The sequence below is a fragment of the Homo sapiens genome, chromosome 3 (assembly GCF_000001405.40).
Source record: "Homo sapiens chromosome 3, GRCh38.p14 Primary Assembly".
NCBI lineage: Eukaryota > Metazoa > Chordata > Mammalia > Primates > Hominidae > Homo > Homo sapiens.
In genome coordinates, this window is record NC_000003.12 from 121,519,517 (window position 1) to 121,543,792 (window position 24,276).

Here is a 24,276-nt window from a genome sequence, read left to right on the forward strand (position 1 = left end):
TACAAAAAAATTAGCCGGGCATGGTGGCAGGCGCCTGTAGTCCCAGCTACTTGGGAGGCTGAGGCAGGAGAATGGCATGAACCCGGAAGGCAGAGCTTGCAGTGGGCCAAGATCGCGCCACTGCACTGCAGCCTGGGCGACAGAGCGAGACTCCGTCTCAAAAAAAAAAAAAAAAAAAGAAAATTATAACTCATACTCACTATAAATATTAAGTGAATCCAAAATGATGACACTAGTGCATTGGATAATAAAGAAATACAGCATGATGAGAAACAGGTTGCCAGACACTAGTCAAATTTCAAGTAGACACTGTCCTTCAGCAATGCTGCTACAATTAAATTCAAACTCACTTACCTACTGTGTCCACTCCTTTCCTGCCAGCACGGCCAACCATCTGCTTATAAGTAAGAATATCTAGAGGTCGACCACCAAAAATAGGGGTTCGAATAATCACACGACGTGCAGGTAAATTCACCCCAGAAGAAAGAGTAGAAGTTGCCGCCAAGACCCGAATGAGACCTTGACGAAAGGCTCCTTCAATGATATCCCTCTCCTCAAAAGTAAGACCTAAAAAAAGGAGGTTTTTATATATTTATTGATATATAACGAAAATATTATACGTGTTCACTTACAAATGGATTTGAGAGTCTGCTTCAAGCCTCTGAAGATTTTTGAAACTATTGTTATGACTGTTGACAAAGGAGTCATCACAGTCTATCTCTTTAACAGCATAATCTGGCCGGGCGCGGTGGCTCATGTCTGTAATCCCAGCAGTGTGGGAGGCTGAGGCAGGTGGATCGCTTGAGGTCAGGAGTTCGAGACCAGCCTGGCCAACATGGTGAAACCCTGCCTCTACTAAAAATATAAAAATTAGCTGTGCATGGTGGTGGGTGCCTGTAATCCCAGCTAATCAGGAGGCTGAGGCAGGAGAATCACTTGAACCTGGGAGGCAGAGTTTGCAGTGAGCTGAGATCACATCACTGCACTCCAGCCTGGGCAACAGAGCGAGAAAACAACAACAACAATAACAAAAAAAGAGTAGAATCTGCTGCCTCTAGTATACCTCTACCTTATTTTCTAGACCAGGGGTCCACAAACTTTTCCTGTTCCTGTGGAAAACAGCAGGTCTCCGCTGCAACTATCCCACCCTGCCACTGTGACATGAAAGCAGCAACAGAACAAATGGGCATGACTGTGTTCCAATAAAACTTTATTTACAAAAACAGATGGTAGGCTAGACTTGACCAGCAGACTGTAACTTGCTAACCACTGTTCTAAACAATGAACTCCTTGTGGGTAGTGATATGCCTTATTCATCAAGATATCTTCAGGGCCTATGCATCACATTGGTCAGATATACCTCTGACATAAATACGTGATGAACAAAAACATGAGTAAATGAAAAACAGTGTATAGAATATATACTTAGCTGGCTCATTTTCAATTTTATTTAAAAATTTAAAGGGCTGGGGTTCTAGTTTTAAAATTAAGTGATGGGTACACAGGTGTTCACTTTTTTAGTATGCATCATAAATTACATACAATGTAAATTCTGTGTGTGTGTATATAGTAGTTTTCCCCCATCTGTGGTTTTGCTTTCTATAGTTTTAGTTACCCAAAGTCAAAAATATAAAGAGGAAAATTCCAGAAATAAGCAACTCATAAGTTTTAAATTGCATGTCCTACCACCCAGGACATGAATTATCCCTTTATTCAGTGTATCCATGCTGTATACACTACCGGCACTATATAATGTGACTATATAGGAAAGAACATAGTATATAGAGGGTTTGGTACTATCTGTGGTTTCAGGCATCCACTGAGGATCTTGGAACATATTCCTCACAAAGGACTACTATATACCATATATATACCCCCTCACACACACACATTTCTAATGCATTTAAAAGTTTTAACATGCTATGAAAAAACATCATATATGTGGGGCTGGTACTATCTATGGTTTCAGATATCCACTGGGGGTCTTGGAACATAGCTTCAGTGAACAAGGGGAGACTACTATATAGAAATAAGTAAACTGAAACAGGTTCGTTTTACTCTTCTTTAATCTATCACACAATTTCGCTCTGTCACCCAGGTTGGAGTACAGTGGCACGATCTCGGCTCACTGTAACCTCCGCCTCCTGGGTTCAAGCAATTCTCCCTGCCTCAGCCTCCTGAGAAGCTGGAATTACAGGTGCGTGCCACAACGCCCAGCTGATTTTTGTATTTTTAGTAGAGATGGGGTTTCACCATGTTGGCCAGGCTGGTCTTAAACTCCTGATCTCAGGTGATCCACTTGCTTCGGCCTCCCAAAGTGCTGGGATTACAGGAGTGAGCCACCACGCCCAGCCCACACAATTTCTTAAAAAGAAATCTAAGGACATTAAGTGTGTTTAACAAGAAATAAATGTACACAAATATAAAAGTTAAGACAGTATGAGGAATTTTGGAGGTTTCTTAATAACATTATAAATATGAAATACCTGCATGATGAAATGCTACTCCCCATGGTACAGTTTTCTGTAATACAGAGTCCAGTCCTGAAGGCAAACGTCTTAACTGATCCATCACTTCCAGGAGTTCTTTTTGTTCCAGAATTACTGGTGGGCATTCAGAGGGTTTCACCAATCCTGTCACAAAAAAATTATCAACACCATTTGCTTCTAACTCAGCTTCTTTAAGTGTATCTGTCTAAATCATAATAGAGCTAAATAGCAGGGGAATGGTTCTGAAACTGCTGCATACTATATAATCCCCTGGAGATCTTTTTTTTTTTTTTTTTTTTTTTTTTTTTTTTTTTTTTGAGACGGAGTCTCGCTCTGTCGCCCAGGCCGGACTGCGGACTGCAGTGGCGCAATCTCGGCTCACTGCAAGCTCCGCTTCCCGGGTTCACGCCATTCTCCTGCCTCAGCCTCCCGAGTAGCTGGGACTACAGGCGCCTGCCACCGCGCCCGGCTAATTTTTTGTATTTTTAGTAGAGACGGGGTTTCACCTTGTTAGCCAGGATGGTCTCGATCTCCTGACCTCATGATCCACCCGCCTCGGCCTCCCAAAGTGCTGGGATTACAGGCGTGAGCCACCGCGCCCGGCTGGAGATCTTTTAAGAATACTGATGCCTGGTTCTTAATCCTGGACATTGTTATATAATTGGTGTGGGATGTGACCTGGACATGAAGAATTTTTAAATCTCCCCAGGCAATTCCAATGTGCGCCAAAGTTTAGGAAACTGTGTAAGGGTAAGACGAAGCCCACAGGAGGGGATCAAAGGAACCTGCTGAGGAAGCAGAGTATTACGGATACTGATTACCACTCAAAGCCCCAAAATCAAAACCCTTGCTCAAGGTGTGTACCACCAACCAGCAGTAGCAGTATCAGAGGGTTTCACCAATCCCGTCACGAAAAAGCCTACTCCTCTGTGAAATTATTCTTGCCTCTTTGGCATTAATCTGGTAGCTAATTAAATAGTACCCTCTGTTTTTTGTCTTCTCCCCCAGTAAGAGCTTAACGTTTTTTTGAGACAGGGTCTCACTCTGTCACCCAGGCTGGAGTACAGTGGCACAATCCCTGCTCATGGCAGCCTTGACCTCCTGGGCTCAAGCAATCCTCCTACCTCAGTCTCCTGGTTAGTTAGGACCAGACACACGAGCCACTATGCCCAGCTAGCATTTTTTTTTTTCACTTGTAGAGATAGGGTCTCCCTAGGTTGCCCAGGCTGGTTTCAAATTCCTGGGCTTAAGCAATCCTCCCACCTTGGCCTCCCAAAGTGCTGAGATTACAGGCATGAGCCACCACCCAGCCTTAACTTTCTTATATGCAGTAAAAGCTTTACATACTTATATGTTGTCTTTAAAAATTTTCCAGACTTTTGGATTTTTGAACTTGTAAAACTTTTCATAAACAGTAAATATATGGCTGGGCACGGTGGCTGACACCCGTAATCCCAGAACTTTGGGAGGCCAAAGTGGGCAGATCAGTTGAATCCAGGAGTTTGAGACCAGCCTGGGAAATGTGGCAAAATCCCATCTCTAAAAAAAAATACAAAAAAATTAGCCAGGCATGGTGGCATGCACCTATAGACCCAGCTACTCGGGAGGCTGAAGTGGGAGGATCACTTGAGCCCATGAGGTAGAGATTACAGTGAGCTGAGATCATGCCACTGCATTCCATCCTGGACAACAGAGCAAGACCCTGTCTCAAAACAAAAATAAAAACAAAAAAACAAAAAGGAAAATAAATAAATGTATGTTCTAGAATTATTATATGTCAGTTGAAAATAAAAATATGTATATTTAAATATGTACCTTATATTTCATACATTTTTAAATTTTTAGGTAAACTTTTTAAAAAATTTTAAGGAATCACAGAGAGTTGCCAATGTTTTATTTTGCTGAGGGCAATTAATTTTTTAAAACCTTACCTATCAATATTTTTACTTCAAAAAAAGACATTTAAGATTAAAAAATGAGTAGGAATAATTTCAGAATGTAAACTGCAGCTTTATAAATAATGTGCTGCCTTGTCTTTACTTTTCTGATAAAAATCTCATCATAGACCAGGCTCCAGTCCAAGCAGGAGCATTTGGGAACCACTGCTACAAACCAAGATAACAAAATCTCAAGAAAAGAAAATGATGATGATTCTGGTTATTAAGGATTATAAATGGCCATGGTAAAATGTAAGGAAATAAGCTAACCCGGTGTAGAAGGTACCAGTTAAGGGGAAACTGGAAGAGATGATACACTGTTAGACAACAGCCTAGCCAATATAAACTTCAGGCAAAGTTTACTTGTTAGAGCTAGGCTTGAGATTTCCATCACTTATCCTCATGATGTGACTGGTATAATTAATTAATAAAATATCCTAATATTCTGTGACTAGAACTGGTCCCTGTCTTCCTTGTATTTATCTTGAGCACCACAGACTAGTAAAAATAGTGAGGCAACAGTGTTCACTCTAGAATCAGTAAAAATATATACTATGATTATAGCCATTAGTATATACTAGATCACCATCTGGCAACAAAAAAGGAACAAACTGATAAATTAACAACCTGGGTGAACATCAATCACACCAGGCTGAGTGAAAGCAAGCTAGATACAAAAGACACATACATACTGTATGACTTTATTTACGTGGAATTTTTAGAAAAGCACAAGTAATCTAAAGTGACAGCAAGCAGAGATCAACAGTTGCCTAAGTCTGGAATAGAGGGAAGAGACAGCAAAAGAAAAGAGAATATTTTAGGGTAATGAAAATGTTCTAGGTGTTGATTATATTATGGTTAAACAGATGTATGCATCTGTTAAAATTTATCATATACATACAAAATGGGTACATTTTCTTATAAATAATACCTCAGAGCTTATTTTAAAATACATTTGTATATACATGCATGTGCGTGTATATTTGTGTATAAATACACACACACACACACACACACACACACACACAGAGTTGACTGTCAAACAACACAGGAGTTAGAAACACAGAAACCCCCAGTCAAAAATCCGCACACAACTTGACTTCCCCAAAAGTTAACTACTAATAGGTGGTGTCTCACAACTGTAATCCCAGCACTTTGGGAGTCCAAGGCGAGTGGATCACGAGGTTAGGAGATCGAGACCATCCTGGCTAACACGGTGAAACCCCGTCTCTACTAAAAATACAAAAAATTAGCTGGGCGTGGTGGTGGGCACCTGTAGTCCCAGCTACTCGGGAGGCTGAGGCAGGAGAATGGCGTGAACCTGGGAGGCGGAGCTTGCAGTGGGCCAAGATAGCGCCACTACACTCCAGCCTGGGCAAAAGACGGAGACTCCGTCTCAAAAAAAAAAAAAGAAAACAAAAAAGAGAAAATACATTTACTATTCATTAACTGGAAGTAGATCATCATAAAAGTCTCCATCTTCATCATCTTTACCTTGAGTAGGCTGATGAAGGAGAAACAGAAGGGGTTCATCTTGCTGTCTCAGGGGTGGCAGAGGCAGAAGTGGTGGCAGTAGAGGCAGGCACGCTTGGTGTAACTTTACGCAAATACATTATAATTTCTGCCTGTTTTTGCTTTTTCATTCTCTAAAAATGTTTATATACGGTACCAATCCTTTCGCCATTTGCTGTCGTTTCAGTGCCGATATCATAGAAGGGTCCGTGCCATAAAAAAAGTCAGAAGCAGTCTTGAATAATTAGAATCCTGCCAAATTGTCTAATGTCAACTTGTTTTATGGTACTGCTTCTTCTGTGTCTTCTTACTCATCATCTGGCACTTGTTTGGAAGCACTCATTTCCTTCAAGTCATCTTCTGTTAATTCCTCTGGTGTGGTGTCTACTAGCTCTTGAATTTCTCCAAGATTCATATCTTGAAACCCTTTACCTCCACCTTTTTTTTGCCATTTTCACAATCTTTTTCATGATTTCGTTCATACCTCCACCTTTTTTTGCCATTTTCACAATCTTTTTCATGATTTTCGTTCAAGACTTTCACAAGGTTCTATCGGGGTTCTCTTCCATAATGTTGACAGTCCTTTCCATAGAGTACAGTGCGTAATGAGCTTTAAACATCCTCATGACCCCTTGATCTACAGACCAAATTAGAGATGCTGTGTTTGGGGGTAAGTAGATCACTTTGATGCCTTAAGTGTTGAACTCAAGGGGTTCTGGATGGCCCAAGGCATTGTTCAGTATCAAAAGAAAGTTAAAAGGCAGTCCCTTACTGGCAATGTATTTCCTGACTTCAGAAACAAAGCATCGATGAAACGAATCCAGAGAAGGGGTTCTCACTCTCCAGTCCTTCTTGTACAACCAAAAGACTGGCAACCAGTGTTTATCTATTCCCTCTAAGGCTTGAGTATTAGCTGTTTTATAGACATGAGTAGTCCTGATCATAAACCCAACTGCATTTGCACAAAACAAGAGTTAGCCTATCCCTTCCTGCCTTAAATCCTGGTGCTTTCTTCTCTTTCTTACTAATAAATGGGTTCTTTGTGGCAATTTTTTTTTCTCAGAATAGGGCACTTTCATCTGCATTAAAAATCTGTTCAGGCAGATATCCTTTCTCCTCAATAATTTTCTTAATGGTATCTTGGAACTCATCTGCAGCCTCTTGGTCTTGCATCTCCTGTTATCTTGACATTTTTTCAAATTCATACAAATCACCAAAAAATTTTCCAATATATTATGTATTGAAAAAAATCCACATATAAACCTCTTTCTAAAATTATCCAACCATCTTTTGCTGGCATTAAATTCTCCAGCTTTAGATCCTTTTGCTTTAAGTTGCCATATGGACTTCATTTTTTCTCAAATCGTAGTAGAGTCTATAGGTATGTATTTCTTCTGTGTGTGTGCGTGTGTGTCTCTGTATGTGTGTGTGTGTGTGCGCGCGCGCACGCACGTGCATCTGTGGCGACAGGATCTCACTCTGCCACCCAGACTGAGCTGAGCACAGTGGCACGATCATGGCTGACTGCACCCTTTACCTCCCAGGCTCAAACGATCCTCCCACCTCAGCCTCCCAAGTAGCTGGAACTATAGGCACACATCACCACACCTGGATATTTTTTTTTGAGATGGAGTCTCGCTCCATCGCCCAGGGTGGAGTGCGGTGGCACGATCTCGGCTCACTGCAACCTCTGCCTCCCAGGTTCAAGCAATTCTCCTGCCTCAGCCTCCCAAGTGGCTGGGACTACAGGTATGCCCCACCACGCCTGGCTAATTTTTATATTTTTTAGTAGAGACAGGGTTTCACCATGTTGTCCAGGCTGGTCTCAAACTCCTGACCTCAGGTGATCCGCCCACCTCATCCTCCCAAAGTGCTGGGATTACAGGTGTGAACCACCATGCCCGGCCTAATTTTTTAACTTTTGTAGAGATAAGGTCTCACTATGTTGCCTATGCTGGTCTCGAACTCCTGGACACAAGTGATCCTCCTGCCTTGGCCTTCCAAAGTGCTGGAATTATTGACATAAGCCACCTCACCCAGCAGGTATGCCTTTCATATAGTGATCCTGCAGCCACATAAAACTGCATTTTCAAAATCAGATGAAGAAGTATTTCATAAAATGTGCAAAGCTGCAGCAATAGCTTCACAAATTTCCTTCTTTTTTTACAGTAGTACTTAAGCTCGATGCATTTATCTTAAAATAGTAAATGCAGCTGCAGACCTCAACTTATGGTACATAGCAAGCAATTCAATTTTTTCTTAGAATGCCACTACTTTTCTCTGCTTCTTCGGAACACTTCCAGCATCACTAGTGGCACCTCAAATTGGTCCCATGGTATTATTCAAGGTTTACAGTACTGCACTAAATATGATGAAAAGTACATAAGAAACATGATAAATTACTTTTTACTGCAATATGAAATTTATGAGACACAAACTGCTCATATGAAGGTGATAAGCGTCATATTTTAAGTGCATACTTACAACACGTGAGCTTACTGCAACAGCAGCAGGAGGTGGCTATAAAATTATTACAGTAGTAGTACAGTATATACCAGTTAATTTTATGCAGTTATGATTTAACACTGCCTCTTTACATTTGTTTACATTTTTCTTCTGTGAATGGGGCTATGTATGGTCTGTGTCTGTGTGCCTAAGTTTTGATAAATATTTATTTATTTATTCGAGAGAGGGTCTCACTCTGTCACCTAGGTTAGAGTAAAGTGGCGTGATCTCGGCTCACTGCAGCCTCCACCTCCCAGGTTCAAGTGATTCTCCTGCCTTATCCTCCCATGTAGGTAGGATTACAGGTACCCGACATCACATCCAGCTAATTTTTGTATTTAGGAGAGATGGGGTTTCACTATGTTGGCTGGGCTGGAAATTTTAATTTTTTTTTTTTTTTTGAGATGGAGTTTCGCTCTTGTTGCCCAAGCTGGAGTGCAATGGCATGATCTCAGCTCACTGCAACCTCTGCCTCCCGGGTTCAAGTGATTCTCCCACCTCAGCCTCCCGAGTAGCTGGGATTACAGGCGTGCACCACCACACCCAGCTAATTTTTTGTATTTAGTACAAACGGGGTTTCACTATGTTAGCCAGGCTGGTCTCGAACTCCTGACCTCAGGTGATCCACCCTCCTCAGCCTCCCAAAGTGCTGGGATTACAGGCATGAGCCACCACGCCTGGCAGAAATTTTAATTCTTAATAAAAGATTTGGGCCGGGCACAGTGGCTCATGCCTGTAATCCCAGCATTTTGGGAGGCCAAGGCAGGCGGATCACTTCAGATCAGGAGTTCAAGACCATCTTGGCTAACATGGTGAAACCTCATCTCTACACAAATACAAAAATTAGCCGGGCATGATGGCGGGTGCTTGTAATCCCAGCTACTGGGGAGGCTAAGATGGAAGAATCACTTGAACCCAGGAGGCAGAGGTTGCAGTGAGCCGAGATCATGCCATTGTATTCCAGCCTAAGCGACCGTGCGAGACTCTGTCTCAAAAAATAATAATAAATAAATAATAGATTTGTGTATATTTTAAGGTAGTATGTGATAAAATAGACTAGTATCTACATATGTTTTAGGCTACATGACATACCTTTTTCTTTTTGTTTTTTAATGTTTTCATGTTTCTAGGCTACATAGCTTGTCAGTTTTTTCAAATTAACACAAATCACCAAAACATTTTCTAATATATTATGTATTGAAAAAAAATCCACATATAAATGAACGCACGCAATTCAAACCCATGTCATTCAAGGGTCAACTTATACATATGTATGTATGTGTGTATGATTCTTTTCAGAGTTACACATTCCTTTGGAAATATAAAGAAAGATATGGTTACTTTCCCCAAAGAAATGTCTACATGTGAAGTTTTGCATCCAATTTAGGGGCTCCAAAGATCAAACTCTTAAAGCCCATGGATCCCTGATAAAGAACTATAGTATATACCCAGTATTCTAAAAATCTAAAGCTGATTAGTCTAAGCATGTGTGTGTATACATAGTCTATACTAGGGACGGAATATTATTAGAATCGCAAAAGCACAGTTTGGTAAAAAGGATACCACCTAGTGGGCAGGCAGTGACAATGATGAACAAAAGCCATGTTTTTGCTAATATAATCACTACCATTACTTTCAAGCAAATGTACTAAGCATGAAGGCTTTCCTTTCCATCCATAACTCACCCTCAGCTTGATGATGTAGATTATAAAACTCTCGAGCAATGATATCTGCCAGCTTCTCACACCATTTCTTTGATGGACAAAAAAGTAATACTGAATGGTTATCACAAATCGTCTCATAACATAAACTAACAACATGGTCCTCATCTCCCTAAAACAGAAAGATAAATAACCACTTTAGTGGTCCTTTCAAAAGATTCTCACATCAGTTTAAAAGCACTCATTTTCCTTTCTGGGGAAGCTTTTTCTTCTTTAAGGCATAATGAAAATCAGTTACAAAGTCAATAACAAAAGAAAGGAAAAAAAGAAGAAAAAATAAACTCCTAATGATGAAAGGTGAAAGAAATACTTACTATTCATTCAACTAATATTTACTGAGCTCCAACCCTCAGGCAATGGGAATACAATATTGAGTAAAAAGAAAGTCAAGATCCTAATAGTCAAGGGGTTTATAGTCTCACCAAGAGACACATTAAAATACAGATATCCTCAACTTAAAATGATTGGACTTTATGATTTTTTTTTATTTTACAGTGGTGCAAAAGCAGTATGCACTCAATAGAAACCATACTTTGGGTGCCCATACAACTCTTCTATTTTTCACTCTCAGCACAGTATTCGTTAAATTATAAGATATTAAACACTTTATTATAAAACAGGCTTTGTGCTAAATGATTTTGCCCAACTATAGGCTGATGTAAATGTTCTGAGAACATTTAAGGTAGGCTAGGCTAAGCTATGATATTCAGTAGGTTAAATGTATTAAAGGCATTTTCAACTTACAATGAGTTTATCAGGATATAACCCTATCATAAGTCGAAGAGCATGTGTACTAAATAAATAAATATAAAATACAACAATAATATATACCATTAAAAGAGAGTTTTACGGTGTTTTGAGGCCTCATATTTGACAGAAAGATCTGAAAGAAAAATTGTCCTGAGAAAACAATTTAGCTGAGATGTGAAGGTGGGGAAACATTATCTCAAAGAAAGGCAACACATTTCAAATGAACAAAAGGGCACATGTGAATCCACTGTGGTGGCCCTGCAAGTTCTCCATACTGGAAGTATGTCAATGTATGTATTAAAAACTGGATTAATGCATCCATCTATTCACTCATTAAACAAATATTTACTATTTGTCAAATATTGTTCTAGGTACTGGGGATGGAGCTGCGAACAAAGCAGAAAAAAAGCTCTACCCTCATAATGTTTCTACTCCAGTAGGAAGAGATAGATAATTACAAATATGAGGTAAGTAAAATACATAAGGGACAGGGCGCAGTGGCTCACTCCTGTAATCCCAGCACTTTGGGAGGCCGAGGCCTGAGGTCAGGAGCTCGAGACCAGCCTGACCAACATGGAGAAGCTCCGCCTCTAGTAAAAATACAAAATTAGTTGGGCATGGTGGCGCATGTCTGTAATCCCAGCTACTCGGGAGGCTGAGGCAAAAGAATCACTTGAACCCGGGAGGCGGAGGTTGCGGTGAGCTGAGATCGCGCCATTGCACTCCAGCCTGGGCAACAAGAGCAAAACTCCATCTCAAAAATAATAATAATAATAATATGTTTGGTTTTGAAAAGTGCTAAGGGAAAAGAAATAGAGACCATGTAAGGGAGAACACTATAATTTAGACAAGTTGGCCAGGGAAGGTCTAAGATGGTGACATTTGAGTAAAAAAGTCCAAAGGTGAAAGAGTAAACCACACTGATGGCCCTAAGGGGAAAGTATTCTAGAAAAAGAGAACCTGAGGCCAGAAACTCTTGTTGTATTAAAAAACAGCAGAGGCCAGTGTGAAGGAAGTGAGAGGGAACATAGTAGATAGAGTCAGAGCACTAAGAGGGGTGGGGGATGTAGATCATGTAGGACCTTATAGACTACTAAGAAGACACTGGCTTTTATTCTAAATGAAACAGAAAGCCACTGCAAGTTTCTGAGAAGAAGGGTAACATGATCTGATGTTCATTTTAAATAGATCACTAGCTCCTGTAAGCACAGACTGAAAGGGACAAGGTCAGAAGCAGAGAGAACAATTAGGAAATATTTCAATAATCCAGGTAAGAAATATAAGTGGTTCAAAAGGGTGGAGGCACAGACATGGTAAAAGAAGAAAAAAATTAACAGGAGAGCAAATGAATGTGTTCACACATAAATGTATTGAAGTAACCAAGGCATAGCCAGGCGAAATATGGGGCACAGAGCAAAGCAAGCAAGATTCCATACCAAGTATGCAGAAACTACAAATGCATACCTAGGTAGTTAGTGAAACACATGAATTTCCAATTCTATTTCCAATTCTAAAATGACCCTTAGCTGTTTTAGTACTCAGAGGCACAACTCTGCACAAAAACAGCAGATGCCTCACTCCACCAATGTACATGAGTCAGTTCTTTAACCTCAGGATTAAAGTGTATTTGGGAGTATGGGAGGGTACTTATTTATCAAGTAACTTTCTAGATGCCAGATAATTTTTAAAAATCATATTTAATTCTTACAATATTCAAGATAGGGATTATAATATCCTATTTAACAGGTGAAGATATGAGGTTCAGATAGGTTTTGTGATTCAACTACTATCTCAGCCATATCAAGTATCTCTATTAAGTATCAGAGGTAGATCTATCAGACTACAAAAATAATATTTTCACTCTACTATATATTATACCTACCATTTAACAAAAAAGTTAATCTTGCACACTAGCAGTTAGTGTAAACTAAACCATAAGAAAATCTTTTCCCAGTAAAAAGAAAACGCTACAAGATCAGTTATTTTTTTTAAATGTTTATATTATATATCAGGAAACAACTATTTATTTAAATTAAAGGTACAACTACATTTCCTCTCTCACCATCACCGCTAATATTTTTTTTGGTGGGGGATGGAGTCTTACTCTGTTGCCCAGGCTGGAGTGCAGTGGCATGATCTCGGCTCACTGCAGCCTCTGCCTCCCATGTTCAAGCAATTCTCCTGCCTCAGCCTCCCATGTTCAAGCAATTCTCCTGCCTCAGCCTCCCGAGTAGCTGGGATTACAGGCGCCCACCACCACACCCAGCTAATTTTTGTATTTTTAGTAGCGACAGGGTTTCACATGTTGGCCATGATGGTCTCTAACTCTTGACCTCAAGTGATCCACCCGCCTTGGCCTCCCAACATGTTGGGATTACAGACGTCAGCCACCACACCCAGCTCACCACCAATTCTTTAAGAGGAAACCAGTTAGCTTAATATTAATCCTAATGTATATGTAACTCCCAATTACATCATTCAGAATTTGTTAGCAATTTGCTAGAAAATGAAATCAAACACACAGATAAAAATAGTAGTGATGTACATATATTGATTTACCTTCACTTGTAGCATGGGCTCAAATTCCCTCACAAGTTTCATTGAAGAGTCATATATGGAATTTCCAACTTTTACTGACTCCAAAAGCGGTACAGGGCGAAAGTCGGTATGGTAGAGTTCAGCATTCAACCAGGAAGCCACAAGCTCCAAATTAGGAAGGGTAGCACTCATGCCAACGATTTGCACAGCATTAGACAGAGAACTGGCTAGATCTGCCTGACTGTAAAAAAACAAATGAAAAGAACATTAAAAGATATATAATACATTAATAATTAGTGTTGCTAACAATATTCTTGGTTATGCCCTTTGGTACACACATGCATACATTTCTTTAGGATATATACCTAAGAATAAAATTACTGAGCCACAGATTACTGAGTCACAGAAGATCTTCAATTTTAGTAGATAATCCCACATTGTTTTCCAAAGTAACACCTCCACAATCTGTGTTTTCTATTGTTCCATAATCTTGTCACCACTTGGTATTGTCAATCTTTTTAATGTTGGCAGTTATAGACAGTACGTGGTAGTATTTCTTTTTTTTTAGACAGGGTCTTGCTCTGTCACCCAGGCTGGAGTGCAATGGACCTGTCTCGGCTCACTGCAACCTCCGCCTCCCAGGTTCAAGTGATTCTCCTGCCTTAGCCTCCCAAGTAGCTGGGACTATAGGTGTGTACCACCACACCTGGCTAATTTTTGTATGTTTAGCAGAGACAGGGTTTCACTGTGTTGGCCAGGCTGGTCTCGAACTCCCGACCTTGTGATTTACCCACCTCGGCCTCCCGAAGTGCTGGGATTACAGGTGTGAGCCACTGTGCCCAGCCAGTATTTCTTTGAAGAAGTAATTTACAGTTCCCTGATAACCAATGAGACTACTGAGCATCACTTCATGTGTATGAACCATGTGGATACCCTTTTTTTTTTTTTTTTTTGAGACGGAGTCTTGCTCTGTTGCCCACTCACTGCAAGCTCCGTCTCCTGGGTTCCTGCCATTCTCCTGCCTCAGCCTCCCGAGTAGCTGGGACTACAGGCGCCCACCACCACGCCTGGCTAATTTTTTGTATTTTTAGTAGAGACGGGTTTTCACCATGTTAGCCAGGATGGTCTCGATCTCCTGACCTCGTGATCCACCCACCTCAGCCTCCCAAAGTGTTGGAATTACAGGCGTGAGCCACCACGCCCAGCCGATACTGTTTCAAAAGCCTGTTTTTTTGTCCATTGATATAGTGGGTTGTGTTTTTCTTATTCATTTGTAGAATTTTTAAATGTCTGGATAGTGAATTTCCTCTTTCATTTTTTGCTCTGTTTTTATTAGTTTATCAAGCTTTCTGTTGCATTATTTTACTTTTTTTTTTTTTGAGACAGGGTCTAGCTCTGTCACCCAGGCTGGAGTGCAAAGGCACGATCTTGGCTCATGGCAACCTCTACCTCCAGGGTTCAAGTGATTCTTATGCCACCTGAGTAGCTGGGATTGCAGGTATGCATCACCACGCCCAGCCAAATTTTGTATTTTTAGTAGAGACAGGGTTTTGCCATGTTGGGCAGGCTCATCTAGAACTGGCCTCAAGTGATCTGCCTGCCTTGGCCTCCCAAAGTGCTGGGATTACAGGCATGAGCCACCATGCTTGGCCTTTTTTCTAAGTTATTGGGATGGATAATTAAATAATTGATTCTCAGTCTCTCTTCCTTAATAATATATACACTTTATGCTATCAATTTCCTTTTAAAAACAACTTTTGCTGCCCTTCACAAGTTTTGTTAAGAGATATTTTTATTATACTTTCAGTTCAAACTATTTTCTAACTTCTGTTGTGATTACTTTTTTGATCTAAAAGTGTGTCAAAAATGTGTTTATTTCTAGTCATGTAGACATGTCCTAGTTATGCTTTTCTTATAGCTAAATTCACTATTGTTAGAAAATAAATGATATGAATCCATTAAAATATGTTAAGACTTGCTTTATGGTCCAGTATATGGAAAACTTTTTGATAAATGTTCCATGTGTAACTCAAATGCACAGGTACTCTGCTGTTTTGAGGTAATTGTTCAATATATATCCATTAGGTCAAATTTGCTGATTATATTAATCAGATTTTCTATATCCCTAGTGATTTGGGATATAGATGGTTATCTGCTTGTTCTATCACAAGAGAGATGTGTTCAATTCTCCCTTAACTGAAAAGAATCTATTGAGTACCCAGCACAATGATTAAAAATAGACCAACACCAACACACATCAGTATGAAATTTCACAGCACTGTGGAAAAAGAGGAGTGCCTAAAAATTCCCAGACAGAATTTAAAAAATTGTTTACAAAGGATGAAAAACCAGCATAGCACTGAATTTCTCAATAGCAATGAGAAAATGAAGTAATGCCTTGACAACTCTGAAGGAAAAGTATTTCTAATCTTGACTTTTATACCTGGACAGTCCATAATTATGGAGGCCGGGCACAGTGGCTCATGCCTATAAACCTAGCACTTTGGGAGGCCGAGGTGGGTAGATCACCTGAGGTCAGGCATTCGAGACCAGCCTGGCCAACATGGTGAAACCCTGTCTCTACTAAAAATACACAAATTAGCTGGGTGTGGTGGCAGGCGCCTATAATCCCAGCTACTCAGGAGGCTCAGGCAGGAGAATCGCTTGAACCTGGGAGATGGAGGTTGCAGTGAGCCGAGATCACGCCACTTCACTCCAGCCTGGGCAAAAGAGCGGAACTCCATCTCAAAAAAAAAAAAAAAAAAGAAAGAATTATGAGGCATTTTCAGACATGCAAGTTCTCAAAAAGTTTATACCTATGTGTGTTCACTGAAATAAAGTAGAAGTTCCTGGAAGATATTCCCACCAAAATGAGATGGTAAATCAAGACAGACATATGGTCAAAAAATTGGTAGGGGGAAGGGAATCCCAAGATGATTGCTATATAGCACATATATAGATTAACCACCTATCTAGATTGGAACAACTTGAAGGGCTTCAGGAAAATCTTCAAGAAGATGACTGGCAGAATAGCAAATGTGGTAGAATACACAACTGGGGAGGAGGCTAGGGATAAATTAGCAGTAAGTATCTGGAAAACCAAGCCATCAAACAAAAAAGACAGTTATTAATTTCAGAGAAAACAAAAAGTTGTTTAGAAAAGCAGAAGTAATCATATTACACTATAGCCCAGTTACCAATGTCATTTATATAGTCATAATAGTGTAACACTGAATAATGATCTAAGCAAAATCATAACATAACTATATTTGAAGAATAGGAAGATAATGAGAGGATAAGGAGAGACTGCAGAGAAGGGAGAAGATTGGGTAGTGGTTAGTAAAAAATTTAAAAGAAAGCTAGATCTTCATCTTTCATAGTAAAAGTCAAGATATAAGGTCTGAAATTTAAAAAATTAAGTAGCCACAATTAGAGATGCTGCTGTAAATATTTTTAAAAAGCTAGAAGAGTTGAAAGGTAGTTGCCTCTGAGAAGTGAGGGCTAAAAAAATAATATTTTTTTCAAAATTAGCCTGACTACTTATATATATATAGATGACAAATACAGAAACTAGATTTTTAAAAATCTATAATAAAAATGTATACATTGAAAGGTGAGCAGTCAGAAAATTAAGAATGTTTACACAGTAATCTAAAATCAGTTGCAACCTGAAATACTTTTTCTGTTGTTGTTAGAGACATGGTCTTGCTCTGTTGCCCAGGCTAGAGTAAAGTGGCACAATCATACCTCATTGCAGCCTGGAACTCTTGGGCTTAAGTAATCCTCCTGCCTCAGCCTACTGAGAAGCTGGGACTACAGGTGTGTGCCACCATGCCCAGCTAATTTTTTTTATTATTTATAGAAATGGGGTCTCACTGTGTTGCCCAGGCTGGTCTGGAACTCAGGCTCAAGTGATCCTCCCACATCAGCCTTCCAAAGTGCTGGGATTACAGGTGTCAGCCACCATGCCTGGACTGACTTCTGGAACAAAAACAAACTACTATACATAAGTTTTCTCAATAAGAAAAATATTACACTCCCTTAATTTATTTAACTCATACTTATGCATTTTTCAGACACTTCCTCAACATTGTTTGAAATCTCAGGAACTCAGTTATTTCACGTACTTACCAAGATGCTGATTTCCGAGTAATATAGCAAATCTTGGTCAGCAAAAGTTCCAGCAGATACCCTCGGTGAGAGTCTCCCAGCATATGTAATTCATCCACAACCACCATTCCTAAAAAGATTTTCCAGATACTAGGTTTTTACAGAATGTCACATCCATGAAGAATTTTTTTCCAACCTTTATTTCACTCTATTTAATTTCCTTTATATCAACTTTTATTTTAGATTTGGGGGTACATGTGAAGGTCTGTTACCTGGGTATATTGTGTAATGCTGAGGTTTGGATACAAATGATCCCATCACCCAGGTACTTAGCAATAGTACCCTATTATTAAATAGTTAGTTTTTCAACCCTTGTTCCCTTCTAGTAGTCCCCAGTTTCTGTTGTCGCTATCTTTATGTCCATGAGTACTCAAAGGTTAATTCCCACTTACGAGTGAGAACATGTGGTACTTGGTTTTCTGTTCCTGCATTAATTGGCTTAGGATAATGGCTCCAGCTGCATCCATGTGGCTTTGCTACAAAGGACATGATTTCATTCTTTTTATGACTGCGCCAAGAAGACATTTAAAAGACTCAATATCTTTGAAATAAGATATTGAGATGCCAATTCTTGCCTCCAGAAGTAGATAATAGACAAGAGAAAAACAAATGGGACCTAGAGAAATCACAACGGCTCCACTTCATTCCATCAAAAATAGCAATAGAAAGTATTTACTTATTTTCTAACTTTCCCACACAGTGATATAAGATATAATACACTATATAATACATTGCAAGTGATGCAAACTTCAAACCATAAATCAAAAATCATATTCCTTATAATGGGCAATTCTTTTCCAAGATGTTTCAGGTATTACAGGCAGTCGTACTACAAGGTATACTGATCTAAAAATCAATTATTAGCTTACTCAGGGCTAAACAAACCCAGGGAAAACTGCCTCTCATTACTCTTCTAAATTGGCAACTTCACCGAAATAAACATACAATGAAATATCAAAGACATCTATGTCAGTTTTCAATGTATTGACTTTTCAGTGGGAAAACATACATACTCATGTTAGAAAGTAGCTTAGAAAAAACATAAGAGGGTCCAGAAGAAAAAGACAATTTTAAGAGTTTTTTTTTAATATGGTAAGCTAGTGAGTCATCATACTGCAAAACATAAATATGATCACAATGTCCTTCACTACTTGGAGAATTTAACCAATGTATATACTTGGAATAATTCTTAAGAATTACTGAAAATTCAGTATCAACTAATACTTTCTTTAGTTAAACATTTTCATAACAACATAGTTTCCACATGTACTGGTATTCTCCCCACCCCAAATTCTCCCCACCAAAAGACAACTTTCTGGTGAAAAGGAATTTAAGGAGACAATAGGAAACTTCCTAATGACACATGATGTTCTTTTTCCTATCAATAAGCTGTCTCCAAAATTGTACTGTCTGATGAGTTATTTTAGCACTTACTCATTCATTCACCAAAAAAAAAAAAAAAAAAGTATTCTGCCTGCCGTGTGCCAAGCACTGTGCTAGGTACATTGGAAATAGCACTTACTACGAGTCTATTGCAACTCTCAAATATTTAAAGTCCAATGGGGTCACAAGTAATAAGACAATTCTGATACAAATCAATTGCAATTTCTCTCTCCAAGCTTTATGGAGCATAGCCTATGTCTGATTCCCACCCTCCACCCCTACCCTACCATAACTTTACCATGGTATTTTTAAGTTCACCAGCTTCTCAATAATTAGCTGATATTCTTGCTACTTCTGCTGCTGCAATCCTTCTATTCCTGTTGCTACCTCTACATAATGGCCTTTCCATAATGGCAAAAAAATGCATTAAGATAGAAAATCTTCCCACAATCCCAAGCTCAAATAGAGTGTCAGTTTCTTTAGCTTCCTACCATTTCCATGCTAAATGACAGACTCTGGGTCCAAGCCCAAAATAGACATCATAGCAGCAGAATATAATAACAAAAACCCATATACACTAACCACAAAATGGCAGATCTGGCCCAGCAGGCCTCCTTCTATTCCTGGTAGAGTTTAGATAGGAAAGAAGCAAGGAGAAATTATTGAGGGCTCAAGGATATAATCTACGTTTTGTAAAGTACAAAAATGCAACGTAACGGAGTCAATAACAGCAGCAGGACACAAAACTTATAAACACAGCGTTCCTAACATTACAGATGCCAATCCTTGCCTCCAGAAGTAGATAATAGACAATAGGAAAACAAATGGGACCTAGAGAAATCACAACAGCTCCACTTCATTCCATCAAAAATAGCAATAGAAAGTATTTACTTATTTTCTAACTTTCTTACCTAACAGATCCATCTTATTTTCCTCTATGAGGCGATTGATCAGACCATTGGCTCTCTCAATTGTGCAGACTGCAATATCCAATGAAGAGAAATGCCTTGATGGAGAGGTGCTGCCCATATAACCGTCTACTTTTATTCCTACTTCCTGAAACAGACTCTGAATTGAGTAAAAAGGAACAATACAGGTGAAAAAACTTGAAATTCAAGAGTTATAAACTGGTTCTATCCCAGAACATAGACATAAGTATCTAAAGACATCTACCAGATTACTGTCATCAGTTGTTTCTGGCCAGGACACACTGGTTCTTTTTAGATCATATACTAAAAATATAAAGTTTAGAACTGACAAAACTGTTAAGAGTCAAATAAAATTATGCCATTTTAATGACAGCATAATAATCTAAAAACTTCTAAGAGCTATTTAGAGGAATTAAAATTGGAGAAAAACTACCTTAAGCACTAACATTTTTAATCTAATAAATAGCAAGAAACTAGCTATAACACTTAAAGAAACAAATTTATACTTCATGAGGAAAATAGTCTCATTATCCTACTAATGACCAATTTTTTAATGTAATTGGAAGAAAAGTTTTTAAAAGTCAAATTCAGTGGGACTTTAATAATAATTTTTTTTTTTTTAGTTTAACTTTTAACTAACATACCTTTCAATAAAAAGGATCCTTTCATCATTTCGTTACTTTGGGTCTAAGTTGAGTGATGTTACCATGTATGACCAGCTTTGTTGGCTACTGTGCCTCTGAAATAACTATTAAAAAGATTTATAGAACCATAGAAATTTAGAGCTATTCATTCAATAAAATTTTCCTGAGTGTTTACTAAGTTAACCCACAGGGCTAAGGGTTAACATCCTAATTTTACAAATAAAAAAACTGAGGCCCAGCCAGTTATATGCCCGGCCTAAAGACATAGTTAGTGGCAAAACTGGGACTAGAACCCACATTTCTTTAACAATCAGTATAACAATCTTTCCATTTCAAAAGCACATATTTTTCACTGCAGAAATCACAACAGTAAATTTATTCCATTTAATAAAATATTGTATTTGTGAAAATGCCCTAAAAACTGTGAGCATCATATTGATGTAAACTACTATTAGTCATTTTTGCAGAACAGAGGAACAGATCACATACCTGGAGCTTTACCTAAGCACCAATGGATCTTGACCTTCATCCCCTAAATATTCCTAAATAGTCCTCAATTAGGGCAGGATACACTTCCTTAAACACTCTTTCCTTTCTATGCTTCAGTCTAGTCCTACTGTTCAGTTAAATGCTGATTCTTAATGTGCGTGTTTATATGCTAGTTTAAATATTCTGTTTATTTCCTAAGAAAAGGTTTACAAATTTTTACACAATTTTCACCAATTATTCTTTTGATTTGATGGCCCCTTCTCCTTAATGCAATAATAATTTTCTTTTAATTTCCTTCTGTAAATTTTTTTAATTTTTTTTTTTTTGAGACAGAGTCTTACTCTGTTGCCCAGGCTGGAGTGCAATAGCGTGATCTCGGCTCACTGCAACCTCCACCTCCCAGGTTCAAGCCTCAGTCTCCCGAGTAGCTGGAATTACAGGTGTGCGCCACAACACCCAGCTAATTTTTGTATTTTTAGTAGAGATGGGGTTTCCCCATGTTGGCCAGGCTGGTCTCGATCTCCTGACCTCAGATGATCCGCCCACCTTGGCCTCCCAAAGTGCTGGGATTACAGGCGTGAGCTACCACACCCAGCCCCTTGCTGTAAATTTTTAATGCTTTTGGCAGTAGCCTCTTAAAGCTACATAGGGCACAATGAAGAAACTTTGTTTTCCACTTGCTTTTATAATTCTATTTCAAATGAATGAAACCAAGACTGCCAATAATGAGCCTTTCACTATTTCAAACTTAGTAAAAAACATTACCTGGAGGTAGTATTTCTTCTCTTTAGCCACAGAAACAAAGGGAAGAATAAACAAAGCTTTCTTCCGCATTTCCAAAACCCGCTTCAAAATAAGTAATTCTGCCACAAGAGTCTTCCCAGCACTTGTAGGAGCTAAAACATGATTATTCCACAAGATTATAAGAAAAAAGTAATATTCGGTACAATTCATTAATAAATGTTTTAAGCCATGTGTAGTACTACAGAGCCTAAGGCTAACCAATCACTAAGGGCCCAATAGCACTTAAAATCTTTATACCCTGAAATGCCCTTTACTTTAAACCACCTGTCTTAATAGTCTCAACTAAAAACAGAGTAAATAAATCTTTATATCAGCAATATGATGAATACTACTGAGTACCTAGTTTATACCTAAAGATCCTTTCCTTTAAGTACCAAATGGGTAAAAGGCCTGCTTTGAGGAAGTAGATGAACAATTTTATTATGATAGGAGCTATGATCGAAGTTGAAGAAAAGGGCTGGGCATGGTGGCTCATGCCTGTAATCCCAGCATTTTAGGAGGCCAAGGCCGGGGGATCACTTGAGGTCAGGAGTTTGAAACCATCCTGGACAACATGGTAAAACCCCATCTCTATTACTATAAAAATAACAAAAAAAAAAATAGCTGGGCGTGGTGGCGGGCACCTGTAATCCCAGTTACTCAGGAGGCTGAGGCACAAGAATTGCTTGATCCTGGGAGGCAGAGGTTGCAGTGAGCCGAGATCACCCCACTGCACTCCAGCCTGGGCGACAGTGAGAGACTCCGTCTCAAAAAGGAAAAAAAAAAAAAAGAAGTGGAAGGAAAAAAGTTGCAAGGAATCTTATGGAAATGAAACAGAATTTATGAGAAGGTAAGGAAGAAAGCAAGAGGAGGCCACGATGGGCAAGGTGTTGTATGTCTGTAATCCCAGCATCTTGGGAGGCTGAGGCCTGAGAATCACATGAACCCAGGAAGAGGAGGCTGCAGTGAGTTGCAGTCACGCCATTGCACTCTAGCATGGGTGATACAGTGAGACTCTGTTCCAAAAAAAGAAAAAAGAAAGGAAGAGGAAAGGAATGCCATGCCTAAGAAACAGCATATGGTACAAAGGCCTAGAAGAAAGCCTGGCATGTTCAGATGACACAGAAGGTAATTTAGTAAGCATGGAGTATAAAGTACCCCAGGGGTATAAAAGAAGAGATATGAAAGTGCCACAAGAAAGGTTTATAATCCCACCATTTAAGGAGTTTAAACCTTGTCCTGAAAGCAATGCAGTGTGACTGATGAGTTTTATGAAAAGGAGTGACAAGATCATATTTGTACTTTATAAAGATCACTTTGGACTGGGCACAGTGAATCATGCCTGTAATCTCAAAACTTTGGGAGAATCACTTGAGCCCAGGAGTTCAAGACCAGCCTGGACAACACAGTGCCACCCCCATCTCTACAAAAAATTTAAACAAAAATTTTTTTTAAAAAGACCACTTTGGGGCCGGGCGTGGTGGCGGGCGCCTGTATGTAATTCCAGCTACTCCGGAGGCTGAGGCAGGAGAATCACTTGAACCCGGGAGGCAGAGGTTGCAGTGAGCTGAGATTGTGCCATTGTACTCCAGCCTGGGCAACAAGAGCAAAACTCCATCAAAAAAAAAAGACCACTTTGGCTGCAGGAGCAGGGCAAGATCAGAGGAAAAGAATGAACTAGTTTCAAAGCTATTGCATAATCTAGAAGAAAGATGATAATGAGCTGTACCAGGTAATGGACCTAAAAACAGAAAGGAGTCAGAAGCAAGAGATATATGAGGTAACAGACACCAGGACTTGGTGATTAATTGTATAAGCTGGTGACCAGAGTTCTGAATGATACCCAAGTTTCAGTTTCAAGCAATTGAAATGGTCAAGCAATTATGCCACTGCCACTAACTATGACTTCTTAGCATTTACAAGTATTTTATTTTTTGTAATGCCTTTTCACAATACAAGTACTTTCTATGTGCCAAAAACTGTTCTGAGCTTTTATATATGAAATAATTTAATCAACTCTAAGTACTACCGAGGCACACATACTCACAAACACATATACACTCTCTCACTCTTCCTAAGTAATCTGTGAGGCTGCATAGCCAGTAAGTGATAGTTTTCAAATCCAACCAGTCTAATTCCACTGCCTGAACTTATATCTGCTGATAATTATTTAATTCGTCCTTACAGCCATAATGAAAAATCTGTGTGACTCATAATTTCGGAGAAAACTGACACAAAGGAATTGCATCTTACCAAATGATTAGATTTAAAGTCAGTGTAGTAAGCATGCGTTAAAAATTGTGTATGCCATAGTTGCCCATGAAAACCCATATAGGGCCGGGCATGGTGGCTCATGCCTGTAATCCCAGGACTTTGGGAGGCTGAGGTGCGTGGATCACCTGAGGTCAGGAGTTCGAGACCAGCCT

General features: G+C 39.3%; 1 protein-coding gene across 1 annotated transcript in view; it reads right to left on the reverse strand.

Moving 5' to 3' along the window:
* Window positions 1–24,276, reverse strand: part of POLQ (DNA polymerase theta) — a 114,558-nt gene that overhangs the window by 88,086 nt on the left and 2,196 nt on the right. The window contains exons 3-9 of the mRNA NM_199420.4: window positions 21,833–21,963; window positions 19,917–20,073; window positions 17,584–17,692; window positions 13,474–13,693; window positions 10,129–10,276; window positions 2,487–2,633; window positions 355–567 (exon numbers count right to left, since the gene is read on the reverse strand). Of these exons, the coding sequence (NP_955452.3) occupies window positions 355–567; window positions 2,487–2,633; window positions 10,129–10,276; window positions 13,474–13,693; window positions 17,584–17,692; window positions 19,917–20,073; window positions 21,833–21,963 (1,125 nt within the window). The remainder of the gene's footprint in view (window positions 1–354; window positions 568–2,486; window positions 2,634–10,128; window positions 10,277–13,473; window positions 13,694–17,583; window positions 17,693–19,916; window positions 20,074–21,832; window positions 21,964–24,276) is intronic.